This window comes from Homo sapiens, chromosome 1, assembly GCF_000001405.40.
Source record: "Homo sapiens chromosome 1, GRCh38.p14 Primary Assembly".
Classification (NCBI taxonomy): Eukaryota; Metazoa; Chordata; class Mammalia; order Primates; family Hominidae; genus Homo; species Homo sapiens.
The window spans coordinates 241,922,604-241,941,115 of record NC_000001.11 but is presented as its reverse complement, the minus strand read 5'-3'; the positions used below and the strand labels follow the sequence as shown (position 1 = coordinate 241,941,115).

The following is an 18,512-nucleotide window of genomic DNA, read 5'->3' as shown; positions in this document are numbered from 1 at the left end:
TAGAAGATGTCCTTGCACTGGGTCTTGAAATATCTGTAGATTCACACAGAAAAAAAAAAAAAAAGAAAAAAAAGAGGGACAAAATATTCTGAATGGACATGAGAACATGAAATATTCAGAACATAAAATATTCTGAATGGACATGAGAACATGAGAGATGGGAGCTACTCATGTGCAGGCATGGAATCTTGTAATTTTAGAATTGGAAGTAACCATAAAAATTATTGGGCCAGGTGTGGTGGCTCATACCTGTAATCCCAGCACTTGCGAAGCTGAGGTGGAAGGATTGCTTAAAGCCAGGAGTTTGAGGCTAGCCTGGGAAACATAGCAACACCCTATTTCTACAAAAGTAAAAATAGCCATGCGTGATGGTACATCCCTGTAGTTCCAGCTACTCTGGAGGCTGAGTTGGGAGGATTGCTTGAGTCCAGGAGTTCGAGGTTGTAGTGAGCCGAGATCACGCCACTGCCTTCCAGCCTGGGCAATAGAGCAAGATCCTGTTTCAAAAACAAAACAAAACAAAGCTCTCTGTTTACGTGTCTCCTACTATGTTTATCATTACTGCTGTTAAAATAGTTGTTCATATACACATATATATAAATATAGTATTTATCATTTATATAATTTATTATAGATGTGTGAATATATGTATATAAAATTGGTGGTTTATAGTTTGTTGAGAACTTTTATCTGAGTTATTTTGAGTTCCGTAATGATTCTATGAGGTCATGAAAATCATTCATCCTATTTTATAGTTGAGGAAACTGAAGCCACTGAAGCTCAGTGACTTTGGCAGCTGCTGGTATTGAGATGTGCCAGGACACAAAAGAAGTGGGAGAGACGAAGAAAGATAATTTGAGGGACTTTCATTTTAGGTGGGAGTAGGGGGATTTTTATTCATATTAGTAACCATCCTGATAATGGGTAAAAATGCTGGAAGAAATATGAAAAACTTCTTAAAGTATAGAGGGACTAAAATATCGTGAGGAATGACAAGGCCAGTGTCTAGGAGAAGGCAAGAACACAGAAAGGTGAGCAGAAACTTCACAGCTTACTTTTGCCCTGTGAGCATTTGCTGATCTGGATGAATCAGCTGCTGAGCTGAGACATGGGGAGAGGCTAGCAGAGGTGAAGGCCCAAGGCACTCTACATAGAGAAAAGATGACAGATGTTTCCCTCATAATCAGAACCAGAAGGGAACCAGAAGTCAACCATTCCCCATTTCCCATCTTTCTAGAATTGCAGGAAGAGTTGTCTTGTTGCTGAGAGATGGAGGAGGCATGAAGAAAAAAAGGGCATCTTTGATTTTATAAACCTAGTGCCCACCCTTGCTAGGAATTGAATTTAAAGTGGTTTGATACCAGCAGTGTCCCAGGAATTTAGTAAATGCAAATGCAAAATCTCAGTAGAGGAAAGAACCTATGCTTTTGGGAACCCTAAAAATTGTTCAAGGGAGATGAAAAGCATACAGTCAAAGATGCTAATCACATTTTGAATGAGAACCGGCAAAATAAAAGATGACATAACTGACCTCCAATGACTTTGAAAATTGGAATTATCAGACATAGATTATTATAAAGAATAATTGTATTTTAAAACATAAGACAATCAAAAATATGAGTAAAGATATTATAAATTGGATCATAGCAGATTTGAAAAGGAAACAAAAAATAACTTATTTTATTTTTGTAGAGACAGAGTCCCTTTCTGTTGGCCAGGCTGGTTTTGAATGCCTGGTCTCAAGCAGTCCTCCAACCTTGGCCTCCCAAAACGCTGGGATTACAGGCATGAGCTGCCACACCTGGCTAAAAAGGAATTTCTGTGAAGGAAAAGTTTAATAACTGAAATTAAAACTTCAATGTAATGGATGAGTTTGGAAACCAATTGAACATAGTTGAAGAGAAAGTTACAGATTTAGAAGATAGGTCAGAAGGAGTTGTCTATAATACCACACAGATAAAAACATGGAAAATATGGTAGCTAGGTTAAAAGATGTCAGTGACAGAATAGGATAGTCTAACATACATTTAATCAAAGTTCCAATTGAAGCAAAGAGAGAATTGACAGAGTCAACATATGAAGAAATAATGACAGCAAATTCTCTATAACAGATGAAAGACTTTAATCCATAAATAAATCCCCAGTTGAATAACATTTTTTAAAGGCACACCTGTGTACATCATAGTAAAACTGTAAAACAGAAGTTAATCGGGAATGTTTTAAATCAGAGAAAAAGAAACAAACTTCTTTAGAGTAGCTGTAATTAGGGTGAGAGCAGAGTTCCTTATTGCCTTAAGATATAATGGTATAAAATCATTCATATGTTAGGAAAAAAATAACTGCCAACCTATGCTAAATGGAAGATTTTTCAAGAATGAGAGCCAGTCGGGCACAGTGGCTCCTCACGCCTGTAATCCCAGCACTCTGGGAGGCCGAGGTGGGTGGATTACTTGAGGTCAGGAGTTCAAGACCAGCCTGGCCAACATGGTGAAACCCTGTCTCTACTAAACATACAAAAAAAAAAAAAAATGCCAGGCATGGTGGGGCACGCCTATAATCCTAGCTACTCAGGAGGCTGAGGCAGGAGAATTGCTTGAACCTGGGAGACAGAGGTTGCAGTGAGCTGAGATCGCGCCACTGCACTCCAGCCCCAGCAACAGAGCAAGACTCCATCTCAAAAAACAAAAGCAAAAGCAAACAAACATAAAAAGAATGAGAGCCAAATACAGACATTTTCAGAACAAATAAAACTTAAGAGAGTTCATCACCTGTAGACCCTCACGTGAAGGAAATTCTAAAAGAATTGGTATATACATAGGGAAATCTATACAGACTCTGACCTCCTCAAAATCAATCATATGGAGCTTAAAAAAAAAAAAACGAAAAAGAAAAAGAAAAAGAAAATCACGCCTGTAATCCCAGCATTTTGGGAGGTGGGCGGATCATCTGAGGTTGGGAGTTTGAGACCAGCCTGACCAACATGGTAAAACCCGTCTCTACTGAAAATACAAAATTAGCCAGGTGTGGTGGCGCACGCCTGTAATCCCAGCTACTTGGGAGGCTGAGGCAGGAGAATCACTTGAACCTGGGAGGCAGAGATTGAGGTGAGCTGAGATGGCACCATTGCACTTTAGCCTGGGCAACAAGAGTGAAACTCCGTCTCAAAAAAAAAAAACAAAACAAAACAAAAAAAAACTAAAAGGCATATAATAAAGAAACACTGGAGTTGATAAATGGAGTTAAAATTCTAAATTTCTTATCCGGGATGAGAGTAAATAAATTAAAGAAATTTATACTGTTAATAAAATATATTGTAATTTATTTTTTAATAAAAAATTTAAATAATCTATTCACAACTATACTCAATGTGTTTTAATTTCTAGTATCACCACAAAAAGAATGGAAATTGACTACAAACTTCTAAACTATTTGAGTGAGAAATGGTAAATAGACAATATAAAGAGATGTAAAAAATATATAAAAAGAAAAAATCACAAAACAGAAAAACAAAATTCGTAAATTTATGATACAATAAAATCAAAATAGGTTGGGTGCAGTGGTTCATGCCTGTAATCCTAGCACTTTGGGAGGTTGAGGCAAGAGGATCGTTTGAGCCCAAGAGTTTGAGACCAGCCTGGGCAACATGGTGAAAACCCATCTCTACAAAAAATACAATAAATTAGCTGAGTGTGGTGCAGCCCACTTGTAATCCCAGCTACTTGAGAGGCTGAGGCAGGAGGATCACTTGAACCCAGGAGATGGAGGTTGCAGTGAGCCGAGATCATACCACCGCACTTCAGCCTTGGTGACAGAGCGAGGCCCTGTCTCAATTAAAAAATAAATAAATTAATTAAAAGAAGATAAAAATATATTACCTATTTATACTAAATGTGAATAGACTATAAGTCAAGGACAACTTTTAAAAAATTTATATTTTTATTCAGTAATAAGAGACACATTGCTGGGTTCAGTAGCTCATGCCTGTAATCCCAGCACTTTGGGAGGCTGCGACGGGCAGATCACTTGAGCTCAGGGGATCGAGACCAGCCTGGGCAACATGGCAAAACCCCACCTCTACCAAAAATACAAAAATAGTCTAGTATAGTGGCTCACGCCTATAGTCCCAGAGACTGGGAGACTGAGGCAGGAGGATCACTTGAGCCTGGGAGGTGGAGGTTGTAGTGAACCGAGATTGTGCCATTGTATTCCAGCTTGGGCAACAGAGGGAGACCCTGCCTCAAAAATAAAAAAGGTGGAAAAATATATACTGTATCATGCAAATACTAATTTCTCTAAAATCTGTATAGCTATATTAATATCCAACAAAATTGACCTTAAGGCAAAGAGCATTATAAAAGGTAAAGGAAGATATACCATTATAATAAATGTTCAAGTCATTTGACGATAAATCAACATTAGTCTATGAACCAAAGCAAGGCAGGATTTATAAAAGCACATTTGGAGTCTATGGAATAGTGACATGCCTCCCGCCCCTTATGTAAAATAATTAGCTTATCGATGCCCTCCAGGAACACACCTGGAGTTAAACAAAATTGAGTTTTTGTTCTCCCTGCAACAAGGGAGAAGGCACACTGTGGAGAACTATGAGGCATCACAATAGAAGGGCCAGAAAAGACTGATTAAAGGATTTGGGTTTGTGTTGGATGATCTGGGGAGGGCTTAAGGAAGCAAGGCTTTGCTTTGGATTAGATGCTGTCAGAAAGTAGAAGTAATTCTGTAATTGGTTTTTTGTTTTTTTTTTGAGATGGAGTCTCGCTCTGTCACCCAGGCTGGAGTGCAGTGGTGTGATCTTGACTCACTGCAACCTCTGCTTCCTTGGTTCAAGCAATTCTCTGCCTCAGCCTCCCAAGTAGCTGAGATTACAGGCACCCACCAGCATGCCCAGCTAATATTTTTATTTTTAGTAGAGATGGGGTTTCACCATCTTGGTCAGGCTAGCCTTGAACTCCTGACCTCTTGATCCACCTGCCTCAGCCTCCCAAAGTGTTGGGATTACAGGCGTGAGCCACCACGCCTCGCTTTTTTTTTTTTTTTTTTTTTTTTGAGACAGTCTCACTTTGTGGTCTAGGCTGGAATGCAATGGTGCAATCTCGGCTCACTGCAACCTCTGTCTCCCAGGTTCAAACGATTCTCCTGCCTCAGTCTCCCTAGTAGCTGGGATTACAGTTGCCCACCACCACGCCTGGCTAATTTTTGTAGTTTTAATAGAGATGGGGTTTCACCATGTTGGCCAGGCTGGTCTCAAACTCCTGACCTCAGGTGAACTGCCCACCTCGGCCTCCCAAAGTGCTGATATTATAGGAGTGAGCCAAGGAGCCTGGCCTATAAGTGGGTATCTTAATCATTCTTATCTGCTGGGCGCGGTGGCTCATGCCTGTAATCCCAGCACTTTGGGAGGCCAAGGCAGGCAGTTCACCTGAGGTCAAGAGTTCGAGACTAGCCTGACCAACATGGAGAAACCTCGTCTCTACTAAAAGTACAAAATTAGCCAGGCGTGGTGGCACATGCCTGTAATCCCAGCTACTCGGGAGGCTGAGGCAGTAGAATAGCTTGAACCTGGGAGGTGGAGGTTGAGGTGAGCCAAGATGGTGCCATTGCACTCCAGCCTGGGCAACAAGAGTGAAACTCCATCTTAAATAATAATAATAATAATGATAATAATTCTTATCTGGAAGATGGGAATAACAGATTGTGACTGAAGCTGTAGCCAGTCAGAGCAGTCACTCATTAGCCAGGATAAGAAGCTACTTGGTCATTTGTGGTCTGGATGACATTCTTGCTTTTGTCTGTGCTCCAACTTGGTGACAGAGTAGTCTTGGTTTTGTGCTGATCCACCTCTGTCACAGAGTGGTCTTTCCTGATTGTCAGTGTTCTATGAAATTATTGTGTTTGTTGGGAGAACGCCACAGCCTAGCTGTGTGTGCCAGGCCAGCTCTTGGTATTAGGGGCTGCTTTCCTCATTTTCAGGCTGAATGCTGTCCGGGAGAGTCGTTTGCCCTTGAGCAGACTGACCGAGTTGTCAGGGAAGGCAACTTCAGTCTTGTGAGCCTTCCAAGAAACCATGTGATTTCAGCTGCAGAGTGGACATGGCGTGCTTGTCTGTAGCTGTTCCTGCCTTCGCCCCTCTACCTTAGCTAAGCCAGGTTTCCAACCGTTCCCTTACTAAGATTCTTCAGTTTTAATTTAATTTTTTGGTTTTGCACAATCAATGTGGCTTTGAGAGGTAATTTTTCTTTGACCTTATATTTTTATTTATGAGGTCAGAAACAAATTTGGTAAAACAGAGGGTTTGATTTCGGGGACTCAAATGAGTTTACAAATGTTTAGCACCAGGACCATTTCCCATGAAATGTCTTTATTCATATATTCCATGTTCCCCATTAGCATGAATCACTGACTCCGCTGTGACACTCCTAGAAATGAAGGCAACTGCTCCCTGGACAAGGTGCTTGGTGTGAGTAAAGTGTTTTCGTATCCACTGATGAAAGACACATGCAACAGTAAAATCAATTCAGTGCCTTTTTCCGACTTTTCCAGCCAAAAGCTCTGCTAAAATGTTGTGACTGTAGCTTCACAGCTGTGAAGAATTTTATTCTGTTACCGGCAATTCCATCCTTTTCGCTGCCGTGGTTTTCATTTCCCTCCTGGTGGTTTGAGTCCTCACGCCCAGTCTCTGCTCCCGTGGTCCACCTGAGCCACTTGCCCTGCTTTGAGATGACCTCATTCAGCCCTCCAGTTGCCATGGCAGCACCAGGAGTTCGGAGGAATGTTGTTTTCAAGGTCTCGGCAGCTCTTTCCTCTGGGGTGATTGATTCGGGATCTTTTGGGTTAGCATTCACATCAAAGAGACTCATTTAATTTTCCCAGCCACTTTTCTCTCCACATCTGTATCTAACCCCCTGCCCTCCGTGCTGGCTTTTCAGAAGATTTAGATACACTTATTCAGAGCTTTAAAGTTGTTTGGGCTTTAACATGCTTATTGACAAACAATCCACGGCTGGCCCATGTCTAGACCCTCAAATGCTGGGTAGGCACCACCTGGTTCACTGTAGTTTACTCATGGAGAAAATTCTGGATTCCTGTTACTGGCTGGAACTTTCTAGATGGCTGCCGTGACTCTAGGAAGAGTGAGGCTGGAAACTCCGGGAACTTTGGAGCCTAGCCCTTTCTGATTTCCAAGACTGGCTGCCTGCTCTTTCTCAGACCTGTCCTGACGTTCTTCTATGTTCTACTGGTTGACCGAGATAAGGATTTTAAGAGCGTTAGCCCCAATCCCAGCATGATAATTCCCAGGTTAAGATTAAGAATGAGGCTGGGAGTGGTGGCTCACACCTATAATCTCAGCACTTGGGGAGGCCAAGGTGGGGGGATCATTTGAGGTTGGAAGCTCGAGACCAGCCTGGCCAACTGGTGGAACCTCGACTCTACTAAAGAAATACAAAAATTAGCCAGGCATGGTAGCAGGTACCTGTTGTCCCCCCTACTTGGGAGGCTGAGGTATGAGAATTGCTTGAACCCGGGAGGCAGAGGTTGCAGTGAGCCGAGATCCCACCACTGTACTCCAGCCTGGGCAACAGAGCAAGACTCTGTCTCAAAAAAGAAAAAAAAAAAAAGGTAGGAATGAGCACCTGGTGGCTCACACCTATAATCCCAGCTCCTCAGGAGGCTGAGGTGGGATGGAATACTTGAAGCTAGGAACTAAGAGCAGCCTGCATTTAATAACCATAGTTAATACTTTAAATCAAAAGAGACATTTAAATAGAATGTTCTATGCTTCTGCTTTGAATAATATACCTTCATAAAAACCTGGAAGGCCAGGTTTGAATTGAGAATTCTTGGAGTCCTTGGTGTTCTGCATCAGGATGTGGTAGTGGGTGGTGGGAGGAGCTCTTCCCAGTTCACAGCTGTGGTCCCCCTACCTACCCTGTCATTCTGGCTTTCAGCTGTAGCACCGCGTGATGTGGCTTGCTCAGGCAGGGAAGGGGCCCACGTAGGCCCTGGAAGTGGGCTGTGCCTATTTTGGTAGGTCATTCTGGGGTCACAGTATCCTGGCATTGTTCAGAAGGGGCACGGCTTCTGGGTGGGCCTGTCACTCAGCTTGATGGGGACGGAGGCATGTGCTGGGGGCGCCCAGAGCAGTGGCCTCTAAATCAAGGGCCCAGGGCAGGGGCTTATCTTGCCCAGGTCTAAAGGTGATGTTGCTTTAGCCTACATCTATTTGAGGACAGGCCTTGGCAGACAGCAGGAGTCATTCTCCAACTGCGTTATATTTGAATTCAAATAATTGCTTGGAGATCTGTGTGCCTCTGGATTCCTGTCATTTTTTTCCCTCCTATTTCTACTTTTCTTAACTCATACCTCCTTCCTAGTTCTTGGATTCTGTTTATTTTTTTTATTTTTTTTTAATTTTTGGAGAAAGAGTCTTGTTCTGTTGCTTAGGCTGGAGTATAATGGCACAATCTTGGCTCACTGCAAACTCTGCCTCCTGGGTTCAAGTGATTCTCCTGCCTCAGCCTCCCAAGTAGCTGAGATTACAGGCACCCGCCACGACGCCCAACTAATTTTTGTATTTTTGTAGAGACGGGGTTTCACCATGTTGGTCAGGCTGGTCTCAAACTCCCGACCTCAAGTGATCTGCCCACCTTGGCCTCCCAAAGTGCTGGGATTACAGGCGTGAGCCACCGTGCCCAGCAGCTCCGTACTCTTAAATCCAGTGGTTTACATGGCAGCCTCACTTGGATGTTGCATAGATATTTAAACCTAGGAGGCCCAAAAAGAAACTGTTGGTTTTCCCTCTGGAATTTAGACTTCCCACCCCTGTCCCTGCAGGTAAACTTTCTGCCTCAGTCATGACAGCGGAGTCCATTAAAGCAGTGGGTCAGACCTTACACAGTGCTTCACCCTGGATTTCTTGCTTTTCCCCAAACCCACATTCCCTCCCTCAGCAAGCCCTGAAAATTTAACTCCAAATCGGACGTGGAATTGGCCCGCTCTTCCCCTGCGCTGGCTTACCCAAGCCTAGTGCAGCCTGGACTCCTCCATCCACTCCTGCCTTCTGTCCTTTCTTGCACAGTGACAACAATGTCCTTAATGTGCCAATGTGTTATTTGGATTATTTCACCTCATTGCTTGCAATTCTTTAAAGGCTTTTTTTTTTTTAAGACAGAGTTTGCTCTGTCGCCCAGGCTGGAGTGCAGTGCTGCGATCTCGGCTCACTGCAGCCTCTGCCTCCCGGGTTCACGCCATTCTCCTGCCTCAGCCTCCCAAGTAGCTGGGACTGCAGGCACCCACCACCACGCCTGGCTGTTTTTTTGTATTTTTAGTAGAGATGGGGTTTCACCGTGTTAGCCAAGATGGTCTCAATCTCCTGACCTCATGATCCGCCCACCTTGGCCTCCCAAAGTGCTGGGATTACAGGCGTGAGCCACCGCACCCGGCCACATATGGCATTTTATTTCATCTTCCATTACTCATTGATGGACTTATGCCTTTGCCTTCAGAGCTCACAACAGGCCAATGTCAAAACCACAACACAAAACACTACATGAATAAAAACAATCAAATCATCATTGTGATCAGAACATTCTCTCCCTACAGACCTATTTATGTGGGAAATAACTTTATAACCAGAAGATTGCTTGCAGATTCCATGATTAGTACCTTAGAATTCTACTGTGAAGAGAACCAGAATACTTCTTTTGCTCTCTAAAACCTTGGGAAAAACACTGGAAATCCACTGACCTATTACATTCTCTTTTTCCTATGTAAAGCATTGTTTGGCTTTCCAATCCCCTTGCCACAACCATGCATAACACTTGGTTGTGTATCTCCAGATTTTTCCAAATGTTCATGCAAAAGTACATGCGTACATTTCAGCCTTCGTTTATTATAAAAATGAGAACATTAATATATACACTTATGTCATTTTATTTCCACTTAAAACACCAGGTATATCAGGTTCTAGAGAAGATCCATGTAGATCTTCTCACTTCTTTGCAGATCTGGAATACTCCAGTACACAGATGATAACAAGAAAAAACATTTCATTCCTTTATTTAATAATGTATATGCATAGAGATGGGTCCTCGCTATGTAGCTCAAGCTGGTCTTCAGCTTCTGGGCTCGAGTGATCCTCCCACCTTGGCCTCACAAAGAGCTGGGGTTCCTGGTGTGAGCCACAGCCCCCAGCCTCATTCCTTTTTCCTTTTCTTTTTTCTTTTTTTTTTTTTGAGATGGCATCTCACTCTGTCACCCAGGCTGGAGTGTTGTGGAATCGTCTCGGCTCACTGCAACCTCTGCCTCCGAGGTCCAAGCGATTCTTATGCCTCAGCCTCCTGAGTAGCTAGGATTACAGATGCCTGCCACCACACCAGGCTAATTTTTGTATTTTTAGTAGAGACGGGGTTTCACCATGTTGTCCAGGCTGGTCTCGAACTCCTGACCTCCGGTGATTCGTCCGCCTCCGCCTCCCAAAGTGCTGGGATTACAGGCATAAGCCACCACGCCCAGCCTCATTCCTTTATTATGGTTGTTTGTTACACTGCCCAATACATATCTGATGAATGAGTGAATGCGTGAATGAATATATTTTTACAACCACTGTAAGTATGTTCTCTTTGGATTGAGATTATTGGCATAAAATTTAGATAAGCATTGCCATATTATTCTTCTAAAATGATGAACAAATTTGTACTCCTCTTCAATGACGCTTGAGACTGCCTGTTTTCCCATACCCCAGCTAACACTGAATAGTAATTATCCTTTAAATTTTTTCCCGTGAAACAAGTGAAAAATAATGATCTCACAACCATTTTAATTTTTAATTCCTTTAGTTATATAAAATGTGAAACATCTTTTCATATCTTCTTAAAAATTATTTTTATTTTTTTTCCTTTTTCATATCACCTTGTCTTAACAACTTTTCAGATCTTTATTGGCCATTTGGATTTCTTTTTCTGTCAATTGTTTGTTCCTATGCTATCATATTCTGAAAGTTTCTTTTTTTTTGAGACTGAGTCACGCTCTGTCACCCAGGCTGTAGTGCAGTGGTGCGATCTCGGCTCAGTGCCACCTCCACCTCCCAGGTTCAAGCAATTCTCCTGCCTCAGCCTCCTGAGTAGCTGGGATTACAGGTGCTTTCCACCACACCCAGCTAATTTTTGTATTTTTACTAAAGACAGGGTTTCACCCTGTTGACCAGGCTGGTCTCAAACTCCTGACCTCAAGTGATCCACCCTCCTTGGCCTCCCAAAGTGCTAGGATTACAGGTGTGAGCCACCATACCTGGCCTGAAAGTTTCTTTTTTCATTTTTTTAGAGACATGGTCTCACTCTGTTGCCTAGGCTGAAGTGCAGTGGTGCAATTATGGCTCACTGCAGCCTTGACATCCCAGGCTCAAGCGATGCTCCCACCTCAGCCCTCCAAGTAGCTGGGTCTACAGGTGTGCACCACCATCACTCCCAGCTAACTTTTGTACCTTTTTGTAGAGACAGGGTCTCCCTGTGTTGCCCAGGCTGACCTCAAACTCCTGGGTTCAAGCTCTGCGCCCACCTTGGCCTCCCAAAATGCTGGGATTACAGATGTGTGCCACCATGCCTGACCTCTTAAAGTTTCTTAACCTAAAAAGTGTATAACTATTACTCTGTATTCATAGTGTAATACTTAACCTAAAACACACCTTTAGGCAGCATAACTTTAAAATATATGATACTAAGAATATGAATAGCTTACTATGTGCTAAACACTGTTCTAAGAACATTCCATGTATTACCTCATTTAATCCTCTCCCAAACCCACATCTTAGTCCATTTGGGTTGCTATAACATAAATATCAGACTGGGTGGCTTCAACAACAAACATTTCTCACAGCTTTGGAGGCTGGGGAATCCAAGGTCAAGGTGCCAGCAGATTTGGTGTCTGGTGAGGGCTCATGTCCTGGTTCATAGATGGATGTCTTCTCACTGTACCTGCAAATGGTGGAGGGGCTGGCCAGCTCTCTGGGGTCTCTTTTAAAAGGGCACTAATCTCATTCATGGTGGGTTCCATCTTTAGTCACTTCCCAAAGTCCTCAACCTCCTAATACCATCACCCTGGGGGGTTAGGTTTCAACCTATGAATTTGGGGGGGACACAAACAGGCAGATCACAGAGACTCACAGGATAAATATTTTTATCATCTACTCTTATAAATGATAAACCTCAGGCACCAGAGATACTGAGATTTTCTTTTCTTTTCTTTTTTGAGATGGAGTCTCGCTCTGTCGCCGAGGCTGGAGTGCAGTGGCGCAATCTCAGCTCACAGCAAGTTCCGCCTCCCAGGTTCACGCCATTCTCCTGCCCCAAGTAGATGGGACTACAGGCGCCCGCCACCACGCCCGGCTAATTTTTTTGTATTTTTAGTAGAGACGGGGTTTCACCGTGTTAGCCAGGATGGTCTCGATCTCCTGACCTCATGATCCGCCCGCCTTGGCCTGCCAATGTGCTGGGATTACAGGCGTGAGCCACTGCGCCCAGCCGGAGATACTGAGATTTTCTAAGGTTGCATGGATGGGAAAGAGCAATGTGACCCTTCACGCATGGTGAGTTGATAGAAACTCCCATCTGTCTGCACAATGAGATGAGATTCTGAGTCTTCTCATTGACAGACTGTAGTAACTGCCCTGACGATGGACAGACCTCACTCACTTGCGTGCGGCTCTTTTCACAATAAGACTCCGCTTAGATGGAGCCAGTGACATCGTGTGTAGGGACCAGTGCAAACTGAACATGCACGGCTGTGGGTTACAAAATCATTCTGATCCAGGCGCGGTGGCTCACACCTGTAATCCCAGCGCTTTGGGAGGCCAAGGCGGGAGGATCGCCTTGAGGCCAGGAGTTCGAGACCAGCCTGGCCAACGTGGCAAAACTCCATCTCTAGTAAATATACAAAAATTAGCTGGACATGGTGGTGGGCGCCTGTAATCCCAGCTACCCGGGAGGCTGAGGCAGGAGACTTGCTTGAACCCAGGAGGTAGAGGTTACAGTGAGCCAAGATCACACCACTGCATTCCAGCCTGGGTGACAGAGCAAGACTGTGTCTCAAAAAAAATTATTCTGGGCCGGGTGCGGTGGCTCACACCTGTAATCCCAGCACTTTGGGAGGCCAAGGCGGGAGGATCACCTGAGGCCAGGAGTTCAAGACCAGCCTGGCCAACATGGCAAACCCCATCTCTACTAAAAGTACAAAAATTAGCCGGTCATGGTGGCAGGTACCTGTAATCCCAGCTACTTGGGAGGCTGAGGTAGGAGAATCGCTTGAACCCGGGAGGTGGAGGTTGCAGTGAGCCAAGGTCATGCCACTGCACTCCAGCCTAGGCAAAAGAGCGAGACTCCATCTCAAAAAAAAAAATTATTCTGAATTTCAAGACAGCAAGAGCAGAGTGTTAAAGTAAGGGGCTCCTGTAAGTGCAGGTCCTGCGTGACTGCCCAGGTCATATACTCACGAAGTCAGCCCTGGGCTGAAAGTACTGGGACAAGGTCTACAGTTTTAACAGATAAAGAAATTGACACAGACAGGTTAAGTAACTCTGCCAAAAGCACAGAGGCAGACCCGACCTTTGAACCTAGGTCTGTCTGATTATTAAGCATGTGTGGATTCTTTGCAAGACTCCACACTGTCTCTTCATATGGTGCCGGCTTATGTATGTGCTCAAATCATCCTGGTGGAATTGATCTTAACTTGAGCTGGAAGCAGGATGGAAGGAGAAGTATAAAGAGTGTACTTTTCCAAGGGAGGGGAAGGAAAAGCAGAGTGGTCTTACTGCCCAGGCCTCTGGACTCTAGAACTCAGGTAACTTGGGTTCATCTGCTATGAGAGAAACTCAGTCTGTCTAACCCTGGAGAGTTTTGGAGAAAATGATGGAGAACCAGGCGCCTCTTTGTTGGTTGAAGAGCATGGTATACACACTTAGAAACCTAACATGCCCAGCAGGGCATGATGACTATGATCCCCACACATTGGGAGGCCGAGGCAGGCGGGTCACAAGGTTAGGAGTTCAAGACCAGCCAGGAGTTCGAGACCAGCCTGGCCAACATGGTGAAACCCCATCTCTACTAAAAATACAAAAATTAGCCAGATGTGGTGGTGTATGCCTGTAATTCCAGCTACTAAGGAGACTGAGGCAGGAGAATTGCTTGAAGCCAGGAGGTGGAGGTTGCAGCGAGCCAAGATCGCACCACTGCATTCCAGCCTGGGCGACAGAGTGAGACTCTGTCTCAAAAAAAAAAAAAAAAAAAAAAAAAGGAAAAAGAAACCTAACATGCCCAACTTAGAGAACAGTGAGAGAAGAGAACGCAGGCAGGGAATGAACTGGAGGAAGGTTAAGAAACTATGACCCCGCAAAAAATCAAGTCCATGTGCCTGCAAACTCCCCCAGTGGGACACTTGGCCACATGAAATCAACAAGCAAGCCCGAGGCTATGAACAACTTTCTTTTCAACTCTTAATGGACAAAACCAAATCTTTATTTGTGATTCCTCCCTCCCCTCCCACCCTCTCACCCGATTTCCCGCAGAATATCTTGATGTCAGGACCGTTGTTGTAAGTCCAACACTCAGTGAGACCGAGAGAAGCTGGGGACCCCAGCCTCGCTGTGCCAAAAGCCAAAAGTTGCTGTGTTTCTGGTTCCTCACTGTGTGACTTGTGGGGATGTGGAGGGAAAAAGGAAGGGGTGACAAATGCAAGGAAGCAAGCACAGGAAAAAGGTGGTTTCCCTCCATGATGCCATCACCTTGAAAGCACGCATCCCAGATCTCACCACCACTGCCCTGTTTTCTTGTGATTGCCAAGCAAGTTCTCCAGTTTACCATCTCATCCTGTGGGCAGTTGTTATGTGCTCAGCACGCTGCTAGGTACACTAGCAGGGATCAGAGGGAGCAAAGTCAAACCTTGGCTTTTGCCCTTGAAGAGTTCAGTGTGGTTTCTCCAGCTGGGACAGCTGAATACAGCAATCAGAGAGATTCAGGTTGGAGTGGAGAGGCCAAGAGATGAATTCCTCAATACGTGGCTTGGAAACATAGGTGTTCAAGCATTTGGAAGCTGATCCTTCCCTCTCTTATTATACTAAAATAAATTCCAGATGGATGGAATATTTAAATGTAAAATAAACACAATCTTAACAGTAGTAGCAAAGCCACAAAGCATTAGCGTATAATCACAAAATAAAACAGTTTTTCTAAGACAGGCATGAATCCCAGAAGCAACAAGGGAAAAGGCTGAAAAAGTTAATGTCATATAAATTTTAAAATGTCTATTTAAAAAGCAAACCTTAAACAAAATCAAAAGAAAAGGCACATTTTTTTTTTTGCAGCAGCCATGGCAGAGGAATTTCTATAATATACAAATACTCTTGCAAATCAGTGGAAAAATGATGAATGCCTTCCCAACCCGAAAGAAGCAGAATTCACTAAAGAGAAAGTGAGAATTGCCAGTAGACACTTGACAAGATGCTGGAAAACAAAAGACATGCAGAATAAAACAGTATCGGGCAATTTTTCCACCTGCTAGACTGATAAATATTTGTAAAGATTTCTATTTCCGGTGTAGATGATAAAATGAGGGATAGGCACTTTTGATGTGAGTATAAAGTATAACAGTTTTGTAGAGAGAGTCAGTCATATTTATCATGCTTTAAAATGTTCATATCCTTTACCCAGCAATTCCACCTTTTCTAGAAACTTATTCCAAGGCAATCCAAATACAAATCTCTGAAGAGGCTAGATGCAGTGGCTCATGCCTATAATCCTAGCACTTTGGGAGGCTGGCAGGAGCATCACTTGAGCCCAGGAGTTTGAGACCAGCCTGGGCAACAAGGCGAAACCCCGTCTTTAGAAAAAACACAACGATTAGCTGGGCGTGGTGGCGTGTGCCTGTAGTCCTAGCTACTTGGGAGGCTGAGGTGGGAGAATCGCTTGAGCCTGGGAGGTTGAGGCTTCAGTGAGCCATGATTAAGCCATTGCACTCCAGCCCAGGCGACAGAGTAAGACCCTGTCTCAACAACAACAACAACAACAAACAATCTATACAGAGGCACAGAGATGACATTCATAATCAATGTTATGAGTCTAGGCTTGCTTTATGACAGGTTCTATGTACAATACTTTAGCATCATTGAATTCTCATGGCCACTAAAGCAATGTGTAGTTTACCTTGAATAACATGGGGGTGAGGGGTAATGAACCCTCCTCCTGCTGAAAATCCAAGTTTAACTTTTGACTTCCCCAAAACTTAACTGCTAATAGCCTACTGTTGACTGGAAGCTTTGCTGATAACATAAGCAGTCAATTAACTTATATTTTGTATGTTATATGTATTACATACTGTATTCTCAATGAAGTAAGCTAGAGAAAAGAAAATGTTACTAAGAGAATCATAAGGAAGAGAAAATATATTTCCTATTGATTAAGCAGAACTGAGTCTTCATAAAGGTCTTCATCCTCATCATCTTCACACTGAGTAGGCTGAGGAGGAAGAGGAAGGGGGGGTTGGTCTTGCTCTGTCAGGGTCAGCAGAGGCAGAAGAAAATCCAAGTGCAAATGAGCCCACGCAGTTCAAACCCGTGTTGTTCAAGGGCCAACTGTACTATTGTTAGTGTTCACTTTATAAATGATAAAACTGAGGCTTGGAAAGAAAAACATGCTCAAGGTCATTCCACTTGCAATGAGCAAACCCTGGTCAGTGCTTGCTCCAAAGCCTGTGCCTGTGGTTCTATCCCACGCATTGTTATTTGCAACAGCAAAATCTATAGGCAGGTCCAGGTTCATTAAGGTGGATGACGTAAATTGTGGCTCATCCAGACAAAGCAATAGTACCCAGCTATAGGAATGAAGGAAGTAAGGCCGGGCACAGTGACTCACGCCTGTAATCCCAGCACTTTAGGAGGCCGAGGCCAGTGGATCACCTGAGGTTGGGAGTTCGAGACCAGCCTGACCGACGTGGAGAAACCCCATCTCTACTAAAAATACAAAATTAGCTGGGCATGTTGGCGCATGCCTGTAATCCCAGCTACTAAGGAGGCTGACGCAGGAGAATTTCTTGAACCCGGGAGGTGGAGGTTGTAGTGAGCCGAGATTGTGCCATTGAACTCCAGCCTGGGCAACAAGAGCGAAACTCTGTCTCAAAGAAAAAAAAAAAAGGGAAAAAGAAATGAAGGAAGTAGATGTGTATATACTAGAGAGATCAACATGATATGTAGACAAAGAAAGCAAGATGGTCAAAATAGTGATTATTCTATTTTTGTTTAAAAATAATAATAATTAGTGATGGATGTGATTACCTCTGAATGCTTCATAATTAAAAAAATTTTAATTTGGAAATAATATTAAACTTTTAGAAAAGTGTGATAAGAAGCCAAGTCACTCCTGGTCCTGCCCCAGTGCTCAAAATTACAGCCTTCCTCTACCTTCTCTGCCTTCTCTGGATTCCCAGAGGAGATGCCTTCCCTCCTGTTCAGGAATAAGCCCTTACTTTTCGTCTTAATTAGATCCCTTCAGTTCAGCAGCCCCCACTCACCCTGCTGTTATTTAACCTTTTCCCTCCTATCCTGACTTCTTTCTCTCAACTTCAAAGATTTTCAGGTCCTTCACTGCTTCAAAACCTTACCTGCTAGCTACCTTCTTCCAGGAAGATCCTTAAAACCTTTGTCTTCTGTCACTCGCTCTTCCTCCTCACTCCTTCCCCAAACTTCTAGTCCCTGCCGCCCTAGGGCTTCCCCTCCAGCATGCCATTCAGTGACAATTCTTTTTTATTGAGACCGAGTCTGGCTCTGCCTCCCAGGCTGGAGTACAGTGGTGCAATCTGGGCTCACTGAAACCTCTGCCTCCTGGGTTCAAGTGATTCTCCTGCCTCAGCCTCCTGAGTAGCTGGGATTATAGCCATGCACCACCATGCCCAGCTAATTTTTGTATTTTTAGTAGAGACGAGGTTTTACCATGTTGGTCAGGCTTGTCTCAAACTCCTGACCTCAAGTGATCTGCTTGCCTCAGGCTCCCAAAGTGCTGGGATTACAGGCATGAGCCACCGCGCCCCGCTGAAAATTCTTTCTAAAATTCCCCGTGATCTCCCAATTGCCAAATTCTTCTTCGGTGCATGTTCGCTTGACCTGCCCTCAGCCTCACCCTCAGTGACACTGATGGCCTCTCTCTTCTCAGCATTCTTCTACTTGATTTTTCTGAATCTCTTACTCCAGGCAGACTCTTTGGCCAACTCTCTGACCATGACTACCCAGCTCCCTCCCCGAAGTCCTCCTTGGCCTGTTCTCTTATGTTGGTGCTCTGCAGTCCACACCCTCTATTGCTTCTACTGTGATTAAAAAAAAAAAAAATCCAGCCTGGCACTGTGGCTCACTCCTATAATCCCGGCACTTTGGGAGGCCAAGGTGGGTGGATCACTTGAGGTCAAGAGTTTGAGACCAGCCTGGCCAACATGGTGAACCTCCGTCTCTACCAAAAATACAA

The 18,512-nt window shown here is 44.0% G+C and overlaps 1 annotated feature.

The window, feature by feature from the left end:
* Nucleotides 7,163-7,363: a silencer, noted in NCBI's record as "peak802 fragment used in MPRA reporter construct". NCBI's record gives its function as "represses an SCP1 promoter by STARR-seq MPRAs in K562 erythroleukemia cells {active_cell/tissue: K562}" and the evidence as "EXISTENCE:reporter gene assay evidence [ECO:0000049][PMID:32103011]".